Raw genomic sequence first — 23,897 nt, forward strand, 5'->3', positions numbered from 1 at the left:
GTGGCCGAGGGCAGTGTGGCAGAGAGATGGGGGCGGAGAGGACTGGAAGCCAGGAAAACAATTAGAAACCAATAGAGCGGTTCAGTCAAGAGACCTGGAGAGGTGGAGCTATGGCAGGGACGGTGACCGTGGTGGTGGGTTTGAGAGTAAATAACGGCCAAGGCATACTTTAGAGTTGCCACAGAAAAGACTTGGTTGACTGGTTGTGAAAGTTGAGTCCGACCTTTCTTTCTTAGCCACTAAGTCACACTCTGAAGTAGCAGTGGAAATGCAGGAGGGCAGGTGTTTGGGGAGTCTGAATGGGGCAGAGGGAGTGAAAGGGACGAGCGTTGGAAGGCAGAAAGATGCTGTCAGGTAAAACTAAAAGGGCTCAGAAGAAAACCCAGACAATCCTGAGCAGCAGTCTCTCCTGGTGAAAGAGCCCCGTGGAACGCCTTATGCCAGTGTCCTTGCTGCCTGGTGTTCCAGTGTTAGTAACAGCTGCCACTTCTTTCCTTGCCCATCAGTTACTGTGTTTGTGTGTGCATGTTCCTGTGTTTGTTTTAATCTAATACTGTTCCTCCCCCACGGAGCTACACAGTACTTGTTTTATAAGTGTGACCTCAGCAATCTTTATTATCTACCCAAGCACAAATGAATGTTTTGATCAAGAAAATAAATCAGCTGGGCACCGTGGCTCATGCCTGTAATCCCAGCACTTTGGGAGGCCAAGGTGGGCAGATCACTTTTAGCTTAGGAGTTGGAGACCAGCCTGGCCAACATGGTAAAATCCCATCTCTACCAAAAATACAAAAAATTAGCCTGCATGGTGGTACGTGTCTGTAGTCTCAGCTACTCGGGAGGCTGAGGTGGGAGGATGGCTTGAGTCCAGGCGTTTGAGGCTGCAATGAGCTGAGATTGCACCACTGCACGCCAGCCTGGGAGACAGAGTGAGACCCTGTCTCAAAAAAAAAAGGAAGAAAATAAGTAACTCTGCACAGCTTTGAGATCCACCCACATGTAGAGAGGGAATTTAAACATGTAAACTAAATGTAAACATCGACACAGATGTAAATTGAATTCCAGAAAAGGGCATTTTCCATTCCAGACCCTGAGCTCTGCAGTTTCTGCTGCCTTACCTCTATCTGGCTGCACTTCCCAATTCTTTAAGTCTGTCATTTAGTTCATGTGAAAATTGCTGGGGCTGTGTGCTTCCCTTCAGAGGCACTGACAGACTGTGATCTTTAGGATCTCAAGAGCTGAAGACAGGAGCCAAAAGTGATGAAGACATTTCTCTTGATCAAGCAACATGTTGATAGGCACAAGTAGCAGATCCATCCTATAATCCCCATTCTTGTCATCCCACCTTGGAAATCAACTGAGCGAGCAAATACAGGCATGGGCAACACCGTCTTCACACAAGCCTGTTGATTTATTTTAACTTCGTAAAGAGATGAACAATTGGTTACTTTCTGGCTTTACACACAGCTTGTTTTTCTAACCAGTATCATGCCAGGTGGTCAGCATATTCTCTCCCCTGCCGTGTTAACTAAGTGTGACCAAATTTATAGCTCCGAGGAACTGGAGACCATTGACACTCAGAGTCGCCCTATAGGATGTGGGGGTGCACCAGGGAACAGCCAGCCAGAGGGCAAAGCCACCTGCTGTTCCTCATACCCAGGAGGCCCAGGGCTAAGGCCTGGGTTTCAGTACTGAGGCGGAAAGTCCGCGCTCACTAGTACGGATACGCAGGACTCGCAGTCATGGGTCTGTGTACTTTTAGCTCTCTGTATAAAATCAATTTCCATAGTGATCAGACATGCAGAAGAGTAATTTCCTGTAAGTTCTAGGTCCTGGCTAAGTGGAAATGCTTCTGCTTGTCTGTTGCGATTATTTAAGCCACATGACCTCAGAGGGAAAAAATTCACCGTTGGCTTGGATTCTGAATATCTTGATTTGAAAAAGTCAGCTTTTAGTTTAACCACTGTATAAATCCAATCCCAGACCTAAAAATTCACCTGCAGTGTCATTTCAATAATTATGCTCCAAACAGCAGAACCTGCACACATGTCATCTTTCTTCCTGAGACCTACATCCTGTTTCTTCCCTGAGCTACCTGCATGCTATGTTCTTTCTGCAACATATTAGTCCATTTCTTTGCTGAAAATTAAACATTGTCCTATGGTGTCCCATGATTCCTTGGGAGATAAGGCCACTCATAGTACCTTAAAAATTTTTGTTAGCAGCTGGAATTAATGCTTTCATCTTTCTCTCATAATTTAACATCTTATTCCACATTAACAATCCCCAAATAGGGCATGATGCAGTGTGATGTCGACACTGATACTGGAAGTTTAGAAATCTGGATTTTTTTCCTTTGCTGACTTGGGTCAGAGTCCTCCTATGCTCCTGTGCTAAGAAGCCACACAACAGTGGACACTCACTTCACAGGGATATTATGAGAAATGAGTAATGGTTATAAGATGCTTCGAACCTTTCCAAAGAAAAGTGATCTGAAAACACACGTTCTCTTCATTCACGGAGAGGGCCTTTTGCCTCTGGATGCAGCTCACTGACGAGCTCTCCTGCTCCCACACTTTTGCCCCTCCCAAGGGTCTCCTGATCTCTTCAGAAATGTAACCGAAGGGTTGACAAACAGGGCAACCACGCAGGAGCCAGGCTGTCTTCAGCAGGAGCCAGGCTGTCTTCAGCAGGAGAGATTAGTGAGAGGGGGAAGTCGGCATGGTTTGGAGCAGGCACAGGCCCACCCCTTCTGCCAGCTTGTCAGTTCCATAGTAGAAACCCATGTGTCATGAAGCCTGAGTTTAGCACGGAAAGAAAAGCTGGGGTTTCATAGCCACGCACCAAAGGTTCAAATCCCAGCTCTTCAAGTACCATCTGTGTGGCCTTGGATACATTTCTCAATTTCTTGGAACCTGTATTTGTTTGTCTGTAAGATTAAGACAGTAATATTGGTCATTTGGCTGGGTGTGGTGGTTCATGCCTGTAATCCCAGCACTTTGGGAGGCTGGGATCATTTGAGGCCAGGAGTTTAAGACCAGTTTGGGCAATATAGTGAGACCCCGTCTCTATAAAAAATTTCAAAAATTAGTCGGGCGTGGTGGCACATGCCTGTAGTCCCGGTTACTCGGAAGGCTGAGATGGGAGGATCGTTTCATCCCTGGAGGAGGAGGAGGTTGTTGCAGTGAGCTGAGATTGAACCACTGCACTCCAGGCTGAGTGACAAAGTGGGACTCTGTCTCTAATAATAATAATAATAATAAGTAATAATAATAATATTGGTCTTGCACAGTTATTGTCAAGTATAGATGATACTCTGTCTATTGTGTCTGGCACACAGTAGGTGTTCAATAAGCAGTAGCTTCTAGTTTTATGCCTTTTCTTGGCAGTGGATAGAGGACTTTTTATTTGTTTCACTTTTAGTGCCACGGTAGAATAGTGTCTGTGTGTGCAAGTACTAACTATGTTAAAGCAGAATTTGCCAATGAACTAACCCTCTGAGTTGGCCGAAGACTGTGGCACAGGCAAATTGTATGCAGCCACATGCTTCCTACGGAAAGTCATCCTGCAGAGATTCCTGGGGCCCACTATCTGCACAGTGTCTCCCAACCCTGCAGCTGGACTGCTTCAGTGCTGCCCTGCAGATCCGTCCCCTGCACGCCACATCCATGTGGGCCGCTCTCGTTGCCTCCTGCAGAAACATTCTGCAAGTTCTGGTGTGGTCTCCCTGCCTCCAGCCTCTTCTCCGCTTTTTCTTCCTTGACTCAGTTCTCTGCCGTGTCCCTCTGCAATTTTGCTCCAGAGCCTCCTTGACAAAGGCAGGGCCCGGTAGCAGGGACTGCAGAGTCCCCGCAGGACCCGCTGTTTTCTTTCTCAGCTCATTCTGGAGGCCAGCCCCACTGAGCTGAACGGAGTCTGCACACTACTGCACTGGCATTCCTGCTCCTGCTATCTTTGCCCCGATGTGCTTTTCTTCCATTTCTATTGGCTTTGCCCCACCAGGACCCAGTCATGCATGGCCTTCTTAGGAAGCCTCTCCTGATGCACCTCCTCTTGTCCTGTTTTACCTATCCCACCTGCAGCAGTGGTTCTTCAACACCTAGAGGACCATCATCTCTACAGGCGCTGGTAGCATTCTGCCTGGTGTCTATTACACATCCCTAATCCACAGTCACTCCCTGGGTTTTCCCATCCCAGCCTTCCACAGAACCTTTGCCCAGCAGCCATCCAGCGAATGTTTGCCACATAGAGAATGTTGCCTGTTTTTCAGTCTTCTCTGGTGAAGACTTTGGACCTCACTTAATAACATTCCAGGGCTCAACTCCCCAGCCCCCACTCCATGCCACCCCTAGAGAAGCATCTGTAAGTGAAAATTCCCCAAAGGAAATTTATGTCCGTGTCTTCATATTCACTCCCCCATGCTGATACACAACAGCTGTTCACTGTCTTTTGTAAAATCACTCAAAAATAGCAATTAAGTCGCTCCTCGGACTTCTCTTCTCTGGGATATTTAACCTCAGTTCCCTTTACCTCCCTTGTGGGCTCTTCCCCTTTTGATCGTCACTATTGCTCTCTCTAAGTCCTTTCCAAATTCTGCATCTTCCTCTTAAATATCTTATGGGAAAGGTGGAGACTTGTTTTCAGTTCAGAAGACAGCCTCTTTTTTTTTTTTTTTTTCTTTTTGGGGGTTTGAGACAGGGTCTCACTTTGTCCCCAGGCTGGAGTGTAGTGGTGTGATCCAGGCTCACTGCAACCTCTGCCTCCCAGGCTCAAGCCATTCTCCCACCTCAGCCTCCCAAATAGCTGGGACTATATGCACATGCCACCATGCCCAGCTAATTTTTTTATTTTTAGTAGAGACAGGGTTTTGCCATGTTGCCTAGGCTGGTCTTGAACTCCTGGCCTCAAGTGATCCTCCTGCCTCAGCCTCCCAAAGCACTGGAATTACAGGCGTGAGCCACTGTGCCTGGCCCAGAAGTCAGCCTCTTGCTCTGGCTTTCCTGAGGATCGCTTGAAGGATGGGTGAAAGGAGCTTTGGGCTCAGGGTTCTGGGCACAGAAACGTCCCTCTCTGGCTGGAAAGGAAGCCAGTGAAGGACACTTTCCTACCTGTGCACAAGTAAGCTTGAAGTTGCTTTATTTTCTCATGAAATGTGTGAAGATGGAGGTAAGACAGATTTTATAAAGTGCATTGAAAGCAAGGCTGCCCAGTGGAAGGCCTATTCTTGGTGGGTATGAACGCACTGTCCCCACCTTATCTGCTGCTGGACATGCCCCTGGAGAGGATAGTTCATTTGGTGGAGGGGTCAGGTTCCTGCCTGCAACCCGGAGCAGCCCTGGGCTTTCAGAGCTTGTGGAGGCTTCTGCAGTACTCTATGTCACCTGCCCTGATTTAGAGGCACAGGCCTGTTTTCTTCTCGGATCTTCTTCATTGGTGTTTCTCTCTAGCTGGTCAGTTAGCCCCACTGCTCTGGCAAATTGCTACTGCCCATTAAGGGAATCTCCAGCCTCTCTCCCAGGTAAATAAAGCTTAAAAAAGAACAATGACCTCATAGAAGGTGCTCTGAGAGCTTCCTCCTCTCTTCAAGTCTCCCCTGCCTCCACCACACACACACGGATACACATGCACACATCCATGCATGCGCACACTCCCACACTCTCATAGCTTACAGGGGGACTTGGCCATTTGCGCTGAAGCTGATGCTATGAAAATGACCACTAAGAAGCAGTGGAAGGCCCAGCGATGGTGGCACAGGCCTTTCTGTGAGGTCTGCCCGGTAATTCCACTGAGTCTGGGACCCTGGAGGACCTAGAGAGGTAGTCCCCTCCCCTTCTCTTGCCTGCTAATCACACAGAGGGCCATCATCTTTCATATGAACTCAAAGCCCTTTTTCTGCATAAGCCCTCTTTCCCTCCATGAACTTTTTCTGTTTTGAAATAGCAATTGCCTTTTTAAGCAGCCTTTCATTTTGCCCTTGGCTAGGGAGGACGAGGGGCACCAGTGAGCGACCAATAGGGGGAAAGAAAGGAAGAGAAAATCAGTCAGTCCCCTTTTCCTCCAGCCCTCCCAAAGCCAACCCCTCCTTCCCTCCCTACCTCACTACTTCCCCGTCTGCAACACCACCCACCCACAGGGTCGCAGAGGGGTGCACTTGGCCTTCCAGCTCCTTAACAGTGTGTGTAACACTGTATCTTTTCATAACTTCTAGAATTCCAAAAGGGAGGGAGAGAGCAGGTATATAGTTACATACTTTTACATATGATGTAGTGTATAATACATTAAAATTTAAAAGAGGCAGAGCTTAACAACTTGGAAGTATCTTGGTGGAAAGGTGAATATTATCTTTAAAAGGAATGATTTTAATGAGTCTACAATTAAATGTGCGTTCATTCATTCAAAAAAAAAATGAGGATCCTCTTTCATACCAGGGATCAGATCTCAGATGGTTTCAATCCAACGAGGAGACAGTAACTAAGTCTAGTAGTCGAACAAATAGTCACAAACTCGGGTGGAGGCTGTGAGGCAGAGAACAGGGCGTGTGACAGATGTTATGGCACTGGGGAGGCCTTGCTTCAGTCTGGGAGGAGGTCAAGAAAGGCCTCTCTGTAAGCAGAGATCCTGGGTATGAGCAAGAGTTACCTGGAAGAGGTTGAGGGGATGGGTGTGCTTTAAGCTGCATTAGCCAAGGAAGACAAAAGGACACAGCCGGAGATCTGGTGATCCTAAATATACTGAAGACTTAGTGATTTTAAGGAGTACTCAAGTCAGCGGGGCATGAAAGCAAAATAATTTCAGCTGACTTTAGATTGGACATATCAAGCAATGATAACACCTCAAATAAAGCAGAACGGGGCCCGGTTGAAAGGAGACAGTGGAAGTGGTCCTCATTCCTTGCACCTGAGCCTCTCTGTGGTCTGATAGTGATTTGTATTATTTTTGCTTGTTGTAGTCCATCTTTCCTATAAAGTGCAGATTTCGTGTTGACGCACTCAATGCCATGATGTTCAGATTTCACTTTGTTTCACTACTCTCCAGGAAGCAGCCATGCCTGATGTGTGCGATGAATATGCCTTATCCTCCCGAAACTGGCTTTCCCAACCAAATAGTTCCTTTCAAAGCACTGAAAGCACCCATGATGCTGTGCCTGGGTCCTTAGATTTCATCGTGCATGTTGCTGTGGGTGAAGAGGAGCGGTCTCATGTGACTGGGCTCCCTTCCACACTTCAACCCAGGGGAGCGCTGCCCTTTCTGTAAAGCACGGGCACTTCTGGAAGATCGATGCTGTGATGTACCCAGTTAGAGAGAACCAGTCTGTGTAATAAGCGCTCTGTAACTTTTTAATCCTTTACTTTTTGTTGTTTTATTTCTAAAGGCTTGAGCTGTCTGTTGAAAACATCTACCAAGACTGGCTTGAGAGTTCCGGAATACCAAAGGTAACTCAAGATAACCACTTTGGTAGAATCCATGGAGAGTAGTAAAGCTTGCTGCTTAGCACATCAATCATGACAGTGATTTCTTAATATATGTGTAGGAAAGTAATTATCTTACTGAGTGCAAGTATCTGTAAGTCAGAACACTAGTCTCTCCCGCATTTCCCCCCCTCATTGTGGGGTGTGCCTCTGGCCACTTTCAAGTGACCGTGGTATACGTGGAATTGATGGTAGCTCCTGAACTCCCTGCTAAATGAGACCCTGCAAGACGTGGGGTAGATTTTGGGTGGAACCACCAGCCAACAGTTCCATGCCCCGTGGGGCAGGTGGTGGGGGGGCAGGTGGCAGGGGAGCAGGTTGAGGGGGAGCAGTCAGCCTCCAGCTCTGCTCTTTGGATGCGGCCCAACACAGGAGTTGGTTTGCTGCCGCCGTCGTCTGTCCTGCCCCATGGTCCCTGTCCCTTGTTTCCCTGACACGCCTGTGGCTCCCTCGTCTCCTGGTTCTGCATTGGGCTCCTGTCTCAGGCCGGCCTTCTCACCTGGCTGACCCATTTCCATTCATTTCTCTGTCTTAGGGACCTGGGCTCATCCCAGCTGGAGATTGTTGTTCTCTCCCTCCCTTTCAGTCTATGGGCAACTCTAAGGGAGAAACCTTTTCCTGGCCAGCCCTAGCTCTGTGGAAATCACCTGGCCTGGAGCTCCTCTCCCCGTCCACTCTCCTCTGGCCCTGTGCCTCCCAGAGACCATTGGACAGCCCAGGCCCCTTCGCCAAATCAAATGCTGGCCATGGCAAGCCTAGGCCCTGGGAAGTCTGAGGGTGGGATCCCAGATGCGCGGTCAGAGGACCCTGCAGGCTGGGAGCTCTCTCAGTCTGGGGCAGCCCCCAGAGCGGCTGCAGGCTGGGCCTGACCCAGGGTCATGGGCCTTGGCATCTGGGGGCGGTCCCGTGTGGTGAGGCAGGCCCTGTAGCCTGCTGGTTTCTGGTTTCATGGCTGGTTACATGAGCTTCCCCTTAGGAGGGTCTCAATGTCAGTGAATGTCTGTGAACCATGAAATGAAGGGACAGGAGGGGCTGTTCTCCATTACCTTTTCATCCCCCTCCTCACATCTTTGTCCATTTTCACCACAGGGGAAATGTCAGCCATCAGCAACCATAAGCTCATTCCTAAAAAAGGACAGTTTGCCTTCAGTTCAGGAATGTGTGTCACCTGTTACAAATTATTTCTTTGGTCCAGTCCTTCTGGGAGGAAAAAAGAAAAAACATCCCGAGTTTTACAAATAAAACAGACCAGGGGTAGGACAAGGCAGTGCGTGGTTGGGGGCAGCGCCTTTCACTCACGTGTGTGACAATGAGGGCCCGTGAGCTCTGAGACGGTGACTTCCAAACCAGACTACTCACTGAGGACAAACATCCAGGAAAAACAAGTTAAGGTTTGTCTAGGTGTGAATAACCAACCCTTTTCCTTCATGTTTCAGATGGGAGTGCAGGTGGTGGGGGACATTTGCTGAAGTTTGCCTTGTGATCCTAAGCCAGGCTGTTACAAGGCTCCCAGACATTCTTAGTGTGGCCTGGAAGCTGGGAGCTCCAGTAACTGGCTCCCAAATTTCCTGGCCTGGAACAAGAAGGCTGCTGTTTGCAGCCATTAGCCCCTAGGGAGGGGGAAAGAAAGAGACCTTAATCCAGTGCCCAGAAGCAGGCGCACTCCACTTAGGCTGTGGTGCTGGGGCTGGCTCTCTCACTGCCGGGGGCTCTGTAATTTCCCCTGCAGAGGAGGAGGCTTTAGCTGCCAGCAGGAGGCTTTTGGTTTTCATTAAAAGAGGGAGGGGTCTGTGGCAGGGAGAGATTTGCCTCTGAGCTATACATTTTTTCCAAAGGTCTAGTTGCATTAGTGACAGCTTATAGTGTAGACAAGAATCTCTGCTATAAACTGAAGAAACCTGCTGTCAAAACAGCCAGGTGCAATGAGGCCAACCGGCTATAAATTGTGTTTAAGACCCAACTGGTATTTCCTTGGGTGCTTCACTGTTCAGTAAAAACAACAGGGTCAGACAGAAAAGACCCTGATTTAGCGCATGATTGGTGGGTGATCAGATGGTGTCTTTGCGTCTCTTCTACCCATTTCGGCCATGATTTCTGCGGCTGCTGCTGATTTATCTACTCTCAGCCCCTTTCCCACTCCTTGAGAGTTCCTTGCCGTTTCCACTTCACTGAAAGGCTCTACAAGGACCTGGGACCCTCCGGTTGCAGGAGGCTTGTGGTGAATGGGACACCTTGTTCTTTGTCCCCATCATTATAATATAAAGTTACTAGGATGCTTGCCCTGGAATGACAACCAGGGCCCTGAAATTGCTCTGATGCTCTTTGTTCTCGTAAAAATTTCTGTCTACCAGCAATTGAAGTCATTCATGACAAAAGAGTCATGTTCTACTGGTGGAGTTTTCATTCCACAGGTTACAGAGGCTTTTTGTCTTCTCTCAGGAAGACTTGCCTTGTGGTTGGCCTCGATTTTCCTTTTTGGCTACGTTGAATGGAAATCATTTTTAAAAAGTGGAAATAGCTTCAGTAAAAGTGAGCATGAGCCCTGAAGAAGCAAAAGAAATTGGATCCTAACCTCTTTAAAGAATATCCCAACTCTATAACCTCTGGCCTTACAAAGAGATTTAAAATTGATTGTACCATCAGTACTATAGATTATTTCCTTTTATGACTTTTTTTTTGGTTATAGAAGAAGTACACATTTACTTTGGGATATAAAAAAGTCTAAGAAAATAAAAATGACCCAGAGACAATTTTTTATGTACATCCTTTCACTCATTGTTCTGGGTATATAAATACATATTTTACGTTTTCCTTTCTCTCCCTCTTTAAAAGTAAAAATAACATGCCCTCCGTAGCAAATTCAAACAATAGCAAAATAGAAAATGTGAAACTCCTCGCTGCCCTCAGTCATACCTCCAGAGATCACCTGCACCTGAGAGCAGCCCGCTGTGTGTCCGCCCACACAGTTTCTGTGCTGAACAGCATGTAGGCGCACATTCTTTTGAAATAAAATTGGAGTCTTATCTTCCAAACTAAGTTATTCATTTAAGGATATACACTGAGTAGTTTCCCACATCCCTTAATATAATTCAAGAGCAATACTTTTTTTTTTTTTTTTTTTTGGAGACAGGGTCTCACTGTGTCACCCAGGCTGGAGTGCAGTGGTATGATCATGGCTCACTGCAGCCTACACCTCCCGGGCTGCAGTGAAAGGGCAATACTTTTAAAGAGCTGCACCGCTTCCTGATGAATAATACCATAATCAAACTTATTCGGGGCCTACCCCACACTATTAGAATAGTATATTATTGTACAGTTATTCTCAGAAAGTTGCACATTCCGCTAATTTGACAGCTCTATAAATAGATTTTGGATTTTTTTTCATGTCCAAACAAAGGTTTCCCTCGGCCCCATAGCCATATATTCTAGTCTTCTTTTAAAACATTTATATGCAAATACACTAGAAATAAATACACTAGAAATAAATTTCTGCATCCAGCCTTTCTTCTACACTCCTTATTTTAGTTGCTACAGAACTGCGCTTTTGTTTTGTTTTGTTTTGTTTTTGTTTTTGTTTTTTTTGAGACAGAGTCTCGCTTTGTCACCCAGGCTGGAGTGCAGTGGCACGATTTTGGCTCACTGCAACCTCCACCTCCCAGGTTCAAGTGATTCTTCTGCCTCAGCCTCCCTAGCAGCCAGGACTACAGGCGGGCACGCATGCCTGCTAATTTTTGTATTTTTAGTAGAGACGGGGTTTCACCATATTGGCCAGGCTGGTCTCGAACTCCTGACCTCATGATCCGCCTGCCTTGGCCTCCCGAAGTGCTGGGATTACAGATGCGAGCCAGCCAGTTTCTACAGAACTCTGACTCCTCCCTTTCTTTGATTTCCTCCCTAAATTGCCAAGTCCTGAGGCCCTTCTGTACACACTTACCAAATGTCTAATTTTCTTTCCTAGCACCTCTGCCATTTATAAATTATATTTCGCTTGGACTGGTGCAATAGCAAACTGGTCTTTTAGCTCTCTCCTTTTTGATTCATTGTTCACATCAATGCCAAGTAAATCTTCCCACAACCCAGCTCAGACCCACTCTTCTCACCAGAGACTTTTCCCCCATGGACAATGGATTTAGAACAAACTCCTTGGCCTGCTATTTGAGGCTACCAGCAGACTGGTCAAAGTCACCCTTTTCAACTTTATTTCCTGGCATTCTGGAGATTCGCCCGCTCACGACTGTCGGTGCACAGGTATTTGCAAGCTTTTCCATCAGCCTGCCTTTGTGCATGCCCTTTGCTCCTTGGCATGCTTTCCTCTCCCTCTCTTTAGCATACATCACAACCTGCCTTACATGTTTCTCTCTGTATCTGTCCCATGCCGTCCCCTCCCCTCCCCCCTCCCCCGGAAACAAGGGTTATGTCTATAAGCCTCATCCTGTAGTACCTGTTGTGGTGCTTATCTCTTTTGGGCCTTGCATATATTAACAGTAGATGCTCAGGAGCTCACCGTCCAATGCACTAGCTACATGTGGTTGGTAAGCACTTGAAATATATCGAAAGCACCTGAGGAGCTAATTTTTTTTTTTTTTTTGAGACGGAATCTCGCTCTGTTACCCAGGATGGAGTGCAATGGCATGATCTCGGCTCACTGCAAGCTCCACCTCCCAGGTTCACGCCATTCTCCTGCCTCAGGCTCCCAAGTAGCTGGGATACAGGCGCCCGCCACCACGCCTGGCTAATTTTTTGTATTTTTTAATAGAGACGGGGTTTCACCGTGTTAGGATGGTCTCGATCTCCTGACCTCGTGATCTGTCTGCCTCAGCCTCTCAAAGTGCTGGGATTACAGGCCTGAGCCACCGCACCTAGCCGGAGCTGATTTTTTAATTTAGTCGTAATTAAATTTAAATTTAAAATCTCATAATTTAGTTATTGTTTGAAATACCTTGGGTATGTGAATGAGTCTGCTTTTTCAACTCGGACTGTTATGAAATATAAATAGAGACCAAACATTTCTGATGAAAATTTAACACCCAAATTGAGATGGACTGTGAGAACACATCAGATTTAGGAGACTTAGTACAAAAATGGAGGTAAATATTTCATCAATGTTTTTAAAAATATTGGTTACATGTTGAAATGATAATATTTTGGATACATTGCAACTCAATGTATATACCCAATAAAATATATTAAAATTAATCCTACCTGTTACTTCTTTTTAAATGTAGCAACTAGCAAATTTTAAAAGACACATGTGGCTTGCGTATATTCCTGTTGAATAGAGCTGTTCTAAAGCTATTAGTTGGATTAAAATCTGAGTGCATAATGCCTTAAAGTCACCCACAGAATAGATATGAGTGAAATCGTCTGTATTTTTGTCAAATGCGGGGTAAAGATAGAGCTGGTTAATCCATAGACACCCTTCAATTTGCTGTGACAGCATGGATGATGAGAATCCACAGGTACGGGGCGGGAGTGCTGGGTTCACAGTAGACATTCAGAGGGCATGAACTAGCAGCCTTGCATTAGCTGTGGGTTTCAACTCCTGGTAGACCAGTTTCCTGAGGTGTGAACCACAAGCACACCGCCTCAGGTGAACCTCACGTGTCTTCTGTACCTCAGTCTCCTCTTTGGAGGAAGTGCTCAGCCGCCAGTTCCTGGCAAAATCATCACAGCAGCGGCAGTGAGGAGGAGAGAGAAGATGGGAAATGAGCCGACAATAATGTGTCCCAGAAATAGGCAGAAAGCAACTTGGGTTCCCAGACTTTCTCCTGAATCCCAGAATTTAGAACAACAGGTTATTTTGTCATCTTGGGAAAATGCCACTTCTTTCCGAGCAAACACCTGCAAGTTGCCAGAGGCTGCATGAGCACATGATAGAAAACTGAAGTCTTGTAGGGAAAATGCTGCAATCACAGAATTGAGAATACTTGATAAGACAGTATGCAGGAGGCTTTATGTCACTGTAGTCACGATGTGCTTTTAGCACAGAGAAATCCAGCTGGTTTTATAGGGGAATGACTAGTAGACTTCTTATAGCACATATTATGCAGTATTATCAATATAATTTTAAGGCCTATTAAGATACTCAATCTCAGTGGTGTCTAGAAGAATTCTACATTTAATGGTCAGTCAAGAAAACTGAAACTGATTATTTTGCAAATTTCAGAGAAAGTATATTTTTCAAATTATATGAACTACGATATGTTTGCTTCTTTTATATCTATAATAGCAGTTGCCATAATGTGGTATACTATTTGGGCTGCTAATAATTTTGCTGTCATTTTTGTCCAGTAGTTAAACTTGTATTTTCTAAGTGACTAAACATCTTGTCAAGGATCCTTAAAGACATGTGGAATAGGTTCTGCGGCCTCACTTGAGGCAGCACCCAAAATGCCTGAGTCATCACAGTCACTTCCGTTCATCCAAGCACCTGGCCCCCTCCATAGGCTCTTCAAATTGCTCTACTGCTCAGCAGAATCACAAGACAGGGAGAGGGTTTATTAAAATCTTTTCATTTTTAGCTTAATTTCCTTTATTTTTGGCATCTAAGGCTTTGTGCTCAAATGAGTTTGCTGGGGTTGCCATAACTAAGTACCACAGACTGGGTGGCTTAAACAACAGAGATTTTTTTCCTCACAGTTCTGGAGGCTGGAGGTCCAAGACCAAGGTGCCAACAGCGTTGGTTTCTGGTGAGGCCTCTCTCCTCGGCTTGTAGACGGCCACCTTCTCATCATGTCCTCATGTAGTCTTTGCTCTGTATGCGTGCACATGTCTGTCCTTACCTGCTCTTTTTATAAGGACACCAGTTATATTGGGTTAGGGCCCACCAATATGACCTAATTTTACCTTAATTTCCTCCCTAAAGGCCGTAACTCCAATAATACAGTTGCATTGTGAGTTGTACTGGGGTTTAGGAATTGAATATATGAATTTGGTGGGACACAATTTAGCCATTCCTATTTACCTTATTCACAGTACGTCTCTCACTAGTTCCGCATTCTAATGAATCCCTTCAGAATGGCCAATAAAAATTACTCAGCGCAACCTCACTGCATTTTATTCCCCTATGGATGAATATGCTTTGGGTACATGTTTTGGTCCCAAATGATGTTAGTATCTAGTGAGTGCACAAGAATTAAAAATCATGTCTTCATGGCATGCGAGAGAAATAAATGTGGGAAGGGTCCATTCCCCCAGAAAGTGGTAATAGCTGAAGGTCTGTGCTGCGTGTTGTGTAACATTGGGGCATCTGATTTGACACTGTCCAAATATATTGACCTCTTTACAGCACAAGCCATCACAATGAAATGAGAAACATTTTCCTCTGGTGCCCCCAAATGAAAGCTGTGTGCTTCCTTCATTTCTGTCTTTCAAAACCTGATTTCCAGAACGAGTTTGAATCTCATTCACAGTAGTCTAAGACTAGACTTCAAGTGAATAACAAGAATTAAAAATGTTTCCTCTCTCTTGAAGATTTCCTTTGTAAGTGTCAGAGCTTAGAGCTTAGGCTTCTACGGTAGAACTTTCAAGCATCCAGACCAGATGGATGATATTTGCAAGAGGAAGCTTCTTCCAGGATCTGAAATCAGACCTCTGAGTCCAGTCCTTTCCTATCCTTCTTCCCATGAGTAGATCCCACACATAGGTTCTTGATGAGAGACTGTGGATGATTCAAAGATGAGAGAAATACAGGCTTTGCCTTCAAGATGCTTAATAATTCAATAGGAAAAATAGATACATAAATAACTGACGTAAGGCAGAAAGCAATAAGTAGTGGAAAGCTTAGTGTTCAGAAGAAAGGCCATTTTGATTTGTGGAAGCAGAGACAGTGTAAGTACCATTTGAAGCCAATCTTGAAGGACAGGCAGGTAGAGCATGGGCAGGTGGAGATTGTGGAGAAGGCCCTTACGGGCAGGGAGTGTGACATAACCAAGGTGTGCTGCTGGGAAACTCAGTGTGCCTGTTTGAACAGCATCAGGCAGAGTCAAATCTCAGTGCTGGGAAGCTGATTAACTAGTGTCACAACCATGATGAAGGTTCAGCGGGTAGCATCCCAGCCCCAGTGAAATCAAGGTGGCGTCCTCAGCTGGAAGGGTGGGGGCAAGAATCCTTCCCATTCAGCCTCCTTCTCATTCTCAGGTCCCTCCCAGCCCCTGCAACAATCTAACCAAGGTTGTTCTGCTCCTGAATAATAGAGGGATGAATGCATTTTAAATACTGATAAAATATACTGGGTGAACGCATTTTGATTGTGATTTGGGGTTGTAATCTTTTCCCTTTCTGTTTTTCTTGTTGGGGACATGTTTAATTCTTGCTTGTTTTACATAGAGGGCAGGATCTGTGAGGGGGAATGGTTAGTGGGGCAGGACCCAGCCAGATTACACAGGGACTTGAATGTGATGCTAGAGAGTTCCTGCAGATTGAGTAGCCACTGATGCTTGTGCAAGGAGTGACAGGACTTGAGCAGCATGTTTAGATAAACATGGTCAGGTGGGTCAGCAGCCTTGCCTGGAAAGACAGCTCCCCGGGTAAAAAGCCATGCTTTTCCCCTCTGTGCAGGGAAGAGGTAGTCTAGTGGAGGGTGTGGAACAGCTAGACTGACTTTAGCTCCTTGGTTTCTGACTGAACTTTCAGGTCCAGAAGCTCTTCATTTACATGGATACTTCTAAAAACAGCATTAAGTATCTAGATAACCAATGGTGTCTGTCTATCCAGAGAGGACATGCAGTGGGCTGAGGAACGCCTATATCCATGGGAATGAGTAGGAAGCCACAAGAAACAAGCACAGATCAATGTGATGCAGCTGATGCACCCAAATCCTACTCACGACGGGGAAGGACGTTGGGAAGTCGGCAGGGAGAGTCGATTGCCCACAGCTTTCACAATCTCGGATTAGACGTACATTTTTTCAGTGAGCACAGAGGAAGGCATATGAGGATGGCTTTCTCATTAGGGATAAAGGGCATTTGAGACATTTTTCCTGTAAAAAGAATAAGAATTCTGAACTGGCTCAGATGCAAACAGACACATTGAAAGTATGACACCGTAGAGAGAAAGCTAATATTTGCTAGGTATATGAAGGATAACCCAGTCCTGCCTTCGAACATCGAAGGATAACCAGAAGGAAAAGGAAGCAGAGGCCACTAGCATTTAAAAAATGCAGCTAATGGAGACAGTTGGTAGTGGCCCATGTACGTGTGGGTTTTAATAATAGGATCAAGCTGGGTTCTTGCTGGAAGTCTAGCTCTGCAGGCTTGAGTTGAAGGCGCTCAGGGAGACCTGGTCATCAGAATCATGTAGGAGGCGGATTAAAACTGCAGATCCCGGAGCCAGCCCAAACCTGCTACTGAGTCAGCATCTCCATAGGTACGGCTGGAACTGGTCAACATAATCCGTAATTATCTCATATTCTGAAATATATTCTATCAAAATAAGTTTCTTTTCCTTTCTTTTTTTTTTTTTTTAGACAAAGTCTCGGTCTGTCGCCCAGGCTGAAGTGCAGTGGCGCAATCTTGACTCACTGCAATCTCCGCCTCCTGGGTTCAAGCAATTCTCCTGCCTCAGCGGGGGCAAACTCTCAGGTAGCTGGGATTACAGGTGCACGACACCACACTCAGCTAATTTTTTTATTTTTTGTTTGTTTGTTTGTTTGTTTTGAGACAGAGTCTTGCTCTGTCACCCAGGCTGGAGTGCAGTGGCATGATCTCTGCTCACTGCAAGCTCTGCCTCCCGGGTTCATGCCATTCTCCCACCTCAGCCTCCCGAGTAGCTGAGACTACAGGTGCCCGCCACCTCATCTGGCTAATTATTTTGTATTTTTAGTAGAGACGGGGTTTCACTGTGTTAGCGAGGATGGTCTTGATCTCCTGACCTCGAGATCCGCCCACCTTGGCCTCCCAAAGTGCTAGGATTACAGGTGTGGGCCACCGCGCCCAGCTAATTTTTGTATTTTTAGTAGAGACGGGCTTTCACCATGTTGGCCAGGATGGTCTCGATCTCCTAACCTCGTGATTTGCCTTCCTTGGCCTCCCAAGGTGCTGGGATTACAGGCATGAGCCACTGTGCCTGGCCAAGAAGCTTCTTTTCTAAGTACAACCTAAACCCTTAGAATCCTTCATTTTTATACCCTTCCTGAGTAACCCAAACTTTTTTTTTTTTTTTTTTTTGAGACAGAGTCTTGCTCTCTTGCCCAGGCTGGAGTGCAGTGGCGTGATCTCAGCTCACTGCAACCTCCACCTCCACGAATCAAGAGATTCTCCTGCCTCAGCCTCCTGAGTAGCTGGGATTACAGACACTAGCCACCATACTCGGCTAATTTTTGTATTTTTATAGCGACAGGGTTTCACCATATTGGCCAGGCTGGTCTCAAACTCCTGACCTTGTGATCCGCCCGCCTCGGCCTCCCAAAGTGCTGGGATTACAGGCATGAGCCACTGCGCCCGGCCAAGTAACCCAAACATTTGGCTTTGTGGTTTAGTTTATTAGTTCAAGCAGTTTGCCAAACATTGCGCTGGGTGGTTTGCATATAAAGCCGAAAGGGCACAGACCCTGCCCATGAGCTCATGGTTTGTGGAAGCATCTGCAAACCAACCTTTGCCCAACAGGTCTCCACCCCAGAGTTTGAGACCTGCGAAGAACTGTAGAGGTTGATGTCTTGTGTTTGCCATGTTCCGCTGGGAGGCTAAATCTGTAAGAAAACAAATACGCTTGGAGGGAGGAGACTGCCCTTAAGCCCCACTCAATCACAAGTCAGCTGGCCCATTGTGCAAAGGAGCCAGCATGACTGTCCTCAAGGTGTAGTCTGGTGAGCCATATTTGGACACATGGGCAGTACCTGTCTTTCAGGCTTTCAAGTATTGGCCCACAGAAAGAGTCACTGAAGGAAGGACTACTGCATCCCTAATAATGAGCGGACCTGTAATAGGATTTCACTGCAGTGCTGCCTTATTTTGTAGAGAAACCTTTTTAGAAAGAAAGAGCAATGCAAACTCAAAGAACTAGGACAAAGATAGCAGCTCTAGAGTGTAAACCTTGTATCAATAGAAAAACAACTGATTCTGCTTTTTAAGAAAAACTGCCCCCATTTTCTCTTTTATTAGGCTAAAGACATACTCTGGTAGACTCTTCGTCAAAAGCAGATTATTTAATTTAATTAATTAATTAATTAATTAATTAATTTCTGAGGTGGAGTTTCACTGTCGCCCAGGCTGGAGTGCACTGGCGTGATCTCGGCTCACTGCAACCTCCTCCTCCTCCTAGGTTCAAGCCATTCTCCTGCCTCAGCCTCCCAAGTAGCTGGACTACAGGTCTGTGCCACCATGCCTGGCTAATTTTTTGTATTTTTAGTAGAGACAGGGTTTCACCATGTTGGCCAGGCTGGTCTCGAACTCCTGACCTCAGGTGATCCTCCTGCCTCAGCCCCCCAAAGTGCTGGGATTATAGGCATGAGCCACCGCGCCTGGCCAAAAGCAGATTATTTTATATTGACATTGCACTCTTCCCACACCTGGAAGGTAAAGCCCGGCAAAGCAGTAGTTGAGTGAGTTGTGCACATGGCTGCATACACAAGCATGACCCCTTGGCTGTTTGACATCGCACAGCATCATGGCACATGCTGATAGAAGATCAACACCCAGGGCTTTTTAGGCTGCTGCCCCCACTGTGGCCCTGCACAATGCTCACAGTGGCTTGTCCCAGCTCTTGCAGCCAGAGCACCCTGCTGACCGGGAAAGCCATCAGGAGCACCTGGCTACTTTTACAGTCAGGGCTTTTTTTCCTTCTCTTTTGTGGAAGCCATTATGTGGTACCAAATAGGTATACATTTAATACCTGCATGGTATTTCTCCTGTGTGGCCTCTGCTGCTTCATGGTTAAATATTAGTTTTTTCTGGTATTGTGCAACTTTGAGCTTGCTGTAGAATCACAGGCTACAGATGAGTCTTAGAGTGCAGTGCGTCTTCTTCTTACTGGGGGAGCGGAGCCCCAGGAGAAGTGTAGTATCTGCCCAAGCTCGCAGCACTAGTTAGTGGCAGAGCTATGGCTTGAGTACAGGATTCTAAGTCTTCAGCCCATCAGACTAAAGCATTTTGTAATTTGGGTCCCATCTTTGCCTTAGTTTCTACGAAGACCTATGAGTAGATAATAAAGGAGTATGGCAGAGGGCCCTGAGAAGTGATGATTTTTCATTAATGACTCCTCTTTTTCTTGAAGCTGTTTGTTCCTATTCTTTCACAGATGCAGGATATGGACCTCACTTTCCAGAGCTTTTCACAAATATGTGTCATGGATATACATGCCCCTCTTCCACTAGATATTTCTAAACGGTAGCCCTATGTATCTAGATGGAATATTTTGCATAGGAAATACTGGGCTCCATTGCATCAAAAAGCTGGTATATTTTTTGGTGTGAGTGAATGTGATTGTATATAGAGATTAGTTTAGGTCTTTGCATTTGGAAAGATACAGCCATTCCTCACTTGAGATGGAAACTAAATTACATAATACCAGGCCACCCAAACAAACAAACGAATGGGAAAAAGTAAATGGTTAAACAAAAAGTGTATCTTGATGTACATTTTTCATATCCTCTTATTTGCTTTCACAAGCACACTTCCAACCAGAGTCCCTGTCTTTTGCCCTGAAGCTGACCCAGAGCAGAAGACTGTCAGAGAGCACAAAGGTGGTGGCCAGCCAACAAGTGTCTCACAGGTCAGGGTAACTGTCAATGATTGTTGAACTGCACAGATCCCAGTGTGTGTTTAAAAAGGCCAGCGTTCTTGTCACACATCTCTGGATGGCAGCTGTCTACTTTTCACTGGTGCTTGGTAAGGAGTCTGTTGCAATCATTCAGCAAAAGACCCTGTTCTTCCAGGTCAGTCCTCCAGCTTGGGCCTTTACGACCCCAGTATTTTCTGCTTCTGATCCTGTCGAGTTACAGCCACCACCGTCACACTGTAAGTGGGCTCCAAACAGTTTGGTGCATAACATGCAAGACAGCGTTACTTTAAAGTTAATCAGCAAGATTGGAGGCTGGGTAGAGGAGGAAAGTCGGTTTGTTATGTCCAAATCCATGTTTTTTTCACAGAGTTCTTTATTATGAAGTTTTGTTCAGCAAGGCTAGTCCTATAGTGGATGAAGACGTCAGTGAATCCATTAAATACCAGCTTTGGAGTCAGCTCTACCACCTCGAAGCCGTGTAGCAGTGGGCGAGCCACTTGCCCTCTCTGAGGCTCACTGCCTCTTTGGGGGTAAGGGGAGCTGGCCTGGGTGAAGGCACTCTGGGCTGCGTCCGGTGCCGTGCTGAGGCCTGCAATGCAGGTGTACCTGGTCGCATCTGAGAGGAGAAAAGTTGGGATTTACTTTCATGTGTCTTTCCTTCTGTCCTTGGAACCTGTAGAATTGCCCTCAGACTTAAAAGTTGCCCTTAGCTTGGACTGGTATTGGGAGAGTTTTTTAAATATACTTTGTCCTGTATGGTGTTTTACAAAGTTACACTATCTGGGAACCCTGTTTCTTCATTTCTTTTCTTTTCCAGTGGAAAATTGCTATTTGAGAGATGATTGAGAGAACTGAGTAATAATCAATCTACAAAAGCATTTATGCTGCCTGACCACTGAAGAATAGGCATTTGCTTCTAGTTGAAATCAATTATTCATAGAGATTAACCTGTTTGATCAGGAGATGAAAAAATTTTTGCTGGCCTTTTTAGTCTTAAAATTCCTACGGGTCAGTAGTAACTGCAGGTCAGTTTTACCTTAGACAGGGACAATTATTATTTCTAAGATACATTTTGAGACATAGAGATAAAATATTTATGCCCGTTGCCTAAATAACCTTGGGGGAAAAGTCCAGTGAGTCCAGTTTGCCTTTTGGAGGAGGGGAAGCCATTGTTGCCCAATGCTCTAGAAAGAGCACTTCGTGTTTTATGCTGCTTTTTATCTCAATCATTCAAGTATTTGCTGCTTTTAAAAAAACAAACAGAACCAGTAATGAAATGTGTGTGAGAAATTGCTACAGTGATCGCTGCATATTTTATAGCAAAACGTTGCAGTATTTCTTATATTGAGAAAGTAGAACCTATTTGGGGTTGAAATGATCAAACCCAGATGCTTTCCTAAAATTATATTTTTGGTGCATTTATATGTCTGTTACAAAGTGTGCTACATGCTAAAAATATTTTCCTTTGTAGGCCGAGGGGAGTTTCAAACCGCACTGAGAGACGTAGATCAGATGGTTTTCCGTAAGAGTGTTACCAGCATCCTGGTTGTTATTAGCCTTGACTTTGCAATATGACATTATTTATGCCAGAAGACTTCACAATTCAGTTCTTCTTTAATTTCACCAACTTTATTGGCATGAACATGCATGGAAGGGAGGCCAAAGTCAATACATCAGAATTTGGGACTCAGACTCCAGGGCAACAAGCAATAATGGGATTCGGCTGGAGATAACCCCTCCATTCCTGGGGTCTGTTTCCCTGGGACGCAGAAGCTGCCTCCCACGTCAGGCAGCGTCTCTTGCCTTTTGTCCAAGCGCTTCCTCTTGTTTTTCTCTGGTGTCTCCCTTCTTCTCCCGAGCCACGCATGCTGCCACTTTTCACATTCCATGCAGCCAGGTAGAGACACACTTCTCCTTAAGATGCTTCTGGATTCTGTTTATTGCAAAGGCAGTTGCTCTACAATTCTCTCTGGTTATTCCTCCTCAAATTGTATTTCCTAGTCACTGTCATTGGTTTTATAATTGAGAGACATCTGCCTGGGTTTTGCATAAATGCCTCTAGTCAATTAAGCTGCAAATGGGTAAATCTAAGAATATGTAGATTGTCTAACTCTCTATAGAATTGTAGTTTTTAACTTAATCCTTCCCTTCCCTCCTTCCCCTCACCTCCCTGCCTCCAGTTGACTAGAGTATCCTATTTTACATTTAGAACATCCAGAATGAGCAGAAAAGGCTATATACTAAGTGCATTATACATAATAGCTATTTATTTCTCCTAGTCACAACTCCGTAAGACAGACATTGTTATTATACCCATTTTACAGATGAAGAAACTGAAAACCAAATCTGTCTGACTTAAAAGCCTTCATCCTTAATTATTATACTGGTTTTAAATGCATGTAGCTCTGGTTAGGATTATAGCTATTTTTGCATCTAGCACCTGACCATGGTGGTATCTTCAGAGAGCAATGTAGAAATATCAGATTTCAGGCTGGGCATGGTGGCTCATGCCTGTAATCCCAGCACTTTGGGAGGCCGAGGTGGGTGGATCACCTGAGGTCAGGAGTTCGAGAACAGCCTGACCAACATGGTGAAACCTCGTCTCTACTAAAAATACAAAATTAGCCGGGTGTGGTGGTGTACACCTGTAATCCCAGCTACTCGGGAGGCTGAGGCAAGAGAATTGTTTGAACGCAGGAGGTGGAGGTTGCAATGACCTGAGATCATGCCACTGCACTCTATCCCGGGCAACAGAGTGAAACTCCATCTCAAAAACAGAAAAAAAGAAGTATCAAATTTCACTTTGTGATATTCTTGTAATAACAGTCAGCTTACTGTTTTGAATGAGACAGGACCAGAAATGGAATTATCTCCTTTATAATAAGACACATGAGAAACAGAACTTGGTTTCTCATGTCCATTGGTTGTCATTGGAAGGGATACACACTTGTTTGTAGTAGCTCAGATGTGTTGTGTCTTTGCAGGCTCCGTACAAGGGCATTGAGCCTGTGTGCTTGTCAGGCCAGGCTTTTTATTATGACGTCACAACTCAGTTATTTTGATACCTTTGAAAATTTACTTAGGTTCAAAATACCAGATAGACTTTTGTTTCTGAGGGGAAAGAGGAAGGGATTTGCATTTACTGGTCTATTTTGTGCCTTTTACCATGTGCACCATCTCATTTTATCCTCACCACAGCATTATCTCTGTTTCATAGCTCAGAGAGGTTGTGTGACATGCACGTCCAAGGCCACAGAGCTTCTTGGTGGCAATGACAGAGAGTGCCTAGTCTAAATTCCCAGCTGTGGATTTCCTATGACACCATGGCTTTGTACTGAAACAGTTAAGTCACATTTACAGGGTGACATGTAAAAACAGCAACAGCATATTTGGTTGTCCCTTATCATGATTTCCAGTATCCTTGAAACTCAGAGATCAAGGCAGTGATGGTAAGAAATGCTCCCATAGAAGGCAAAACAGGCCATAATATTTACATAATAAATTGAAACCCATAATTATAAAAGCATTCAGAAACTCCTAGAAGATAGATTTAATAAGATTCTAACATACCTAATATAAATCTGAATATAAATTAACTGGGTGGTAGGTTCTTAAATCCTGCATATTAGGAGGTGTCTAATAAAGCTCTAATGTTCTTTGTGGTTCTTTTCCAACTATCATACTGGTGAGCACAAAAGCTGTGTTATGTAC

General features: G+C 45.3%; 1 protein-coding gene across 45 annotated transcripts in view, besides 2 other annotated features; it reads left to right on the forward strand.

The window, feature by feature from the left end:
• AOPEP (aminopeptidase O (putative)) overlaps positions 1-23,897 on the forward strand; it is a 423,526-nt gene that overhangs the window by 245,296 nt on the left and 154,333 nt on the right. For 43 of the 45 annotated variants that reach the window (NR_169862.1, NR_169863.2, NR_169864.1 and 40 more), the window contains one exon: positions 7,373-7,433. Coding sequence is in view for 34 of the 45 variants with exons in the window: in XM_011519121.4 (XP_011517423.1) it covers positions 7,373-7,433 (61 nt within the window). In the remaining 11 variants the exon portion in view is untranslated. Of the gene's footprint in view, positions 1-7,372; positions 7,434-8,558; positions 23,864-23,897 lie in introns of those variants that run through there. The other 2 variants (NM_001386067.1, XM_011519122.4) reach the window with 2 other exon arrangements.
• Positions 7,560-8,558: an enhancer, noted in NCBI's record as "H3K27ac-H3K4me1 hESC enhancer chr9:97741836-97742834 (GRCh37/hg19 assembly coordinates)". NCBI's record gives its function as "activates a minimal SCP1, AML or CMV promoter by ChIP-STARR-seq in naive H9 embryonic stem cells {active_cell/tissue: H9 hESC(naive)}" and the evidence as "EXISTENCE:reporter gene assay evidence [ECO:0000049][PMID:30033119]".
• Positions 17,853-18,147: a silencer, noted in NCBI's record as "tiled region #2222; HepG2 Repressive DNase matched - State 5:Enh, and K562 Repressive non-DNase unmatched - State 23:Low". NCBI's record gives its function as "represses a minimal TATA promoter and a strong SV40 promoter by Sharpr-MPRA in HepG2 and K562 cells {active_cell/tissue: HepG2 | K562}" and the evidence as "EXISTENCE:reporter gene assay evidence [ECO:0000049][PMID:27701403]".

Source organism: Homo sapiens, chromosome 9 (assembly GCF_000001405.40).
Source record: "Homo sapiens chromosome 9, GRCh38.p14 Primary Assembly".
NCBI classification, from domain to species: Eukaryota; Metazoa; Chordata; class Mammalia; order Primates; family Hominidae; genus Homo; species Homo sapiens.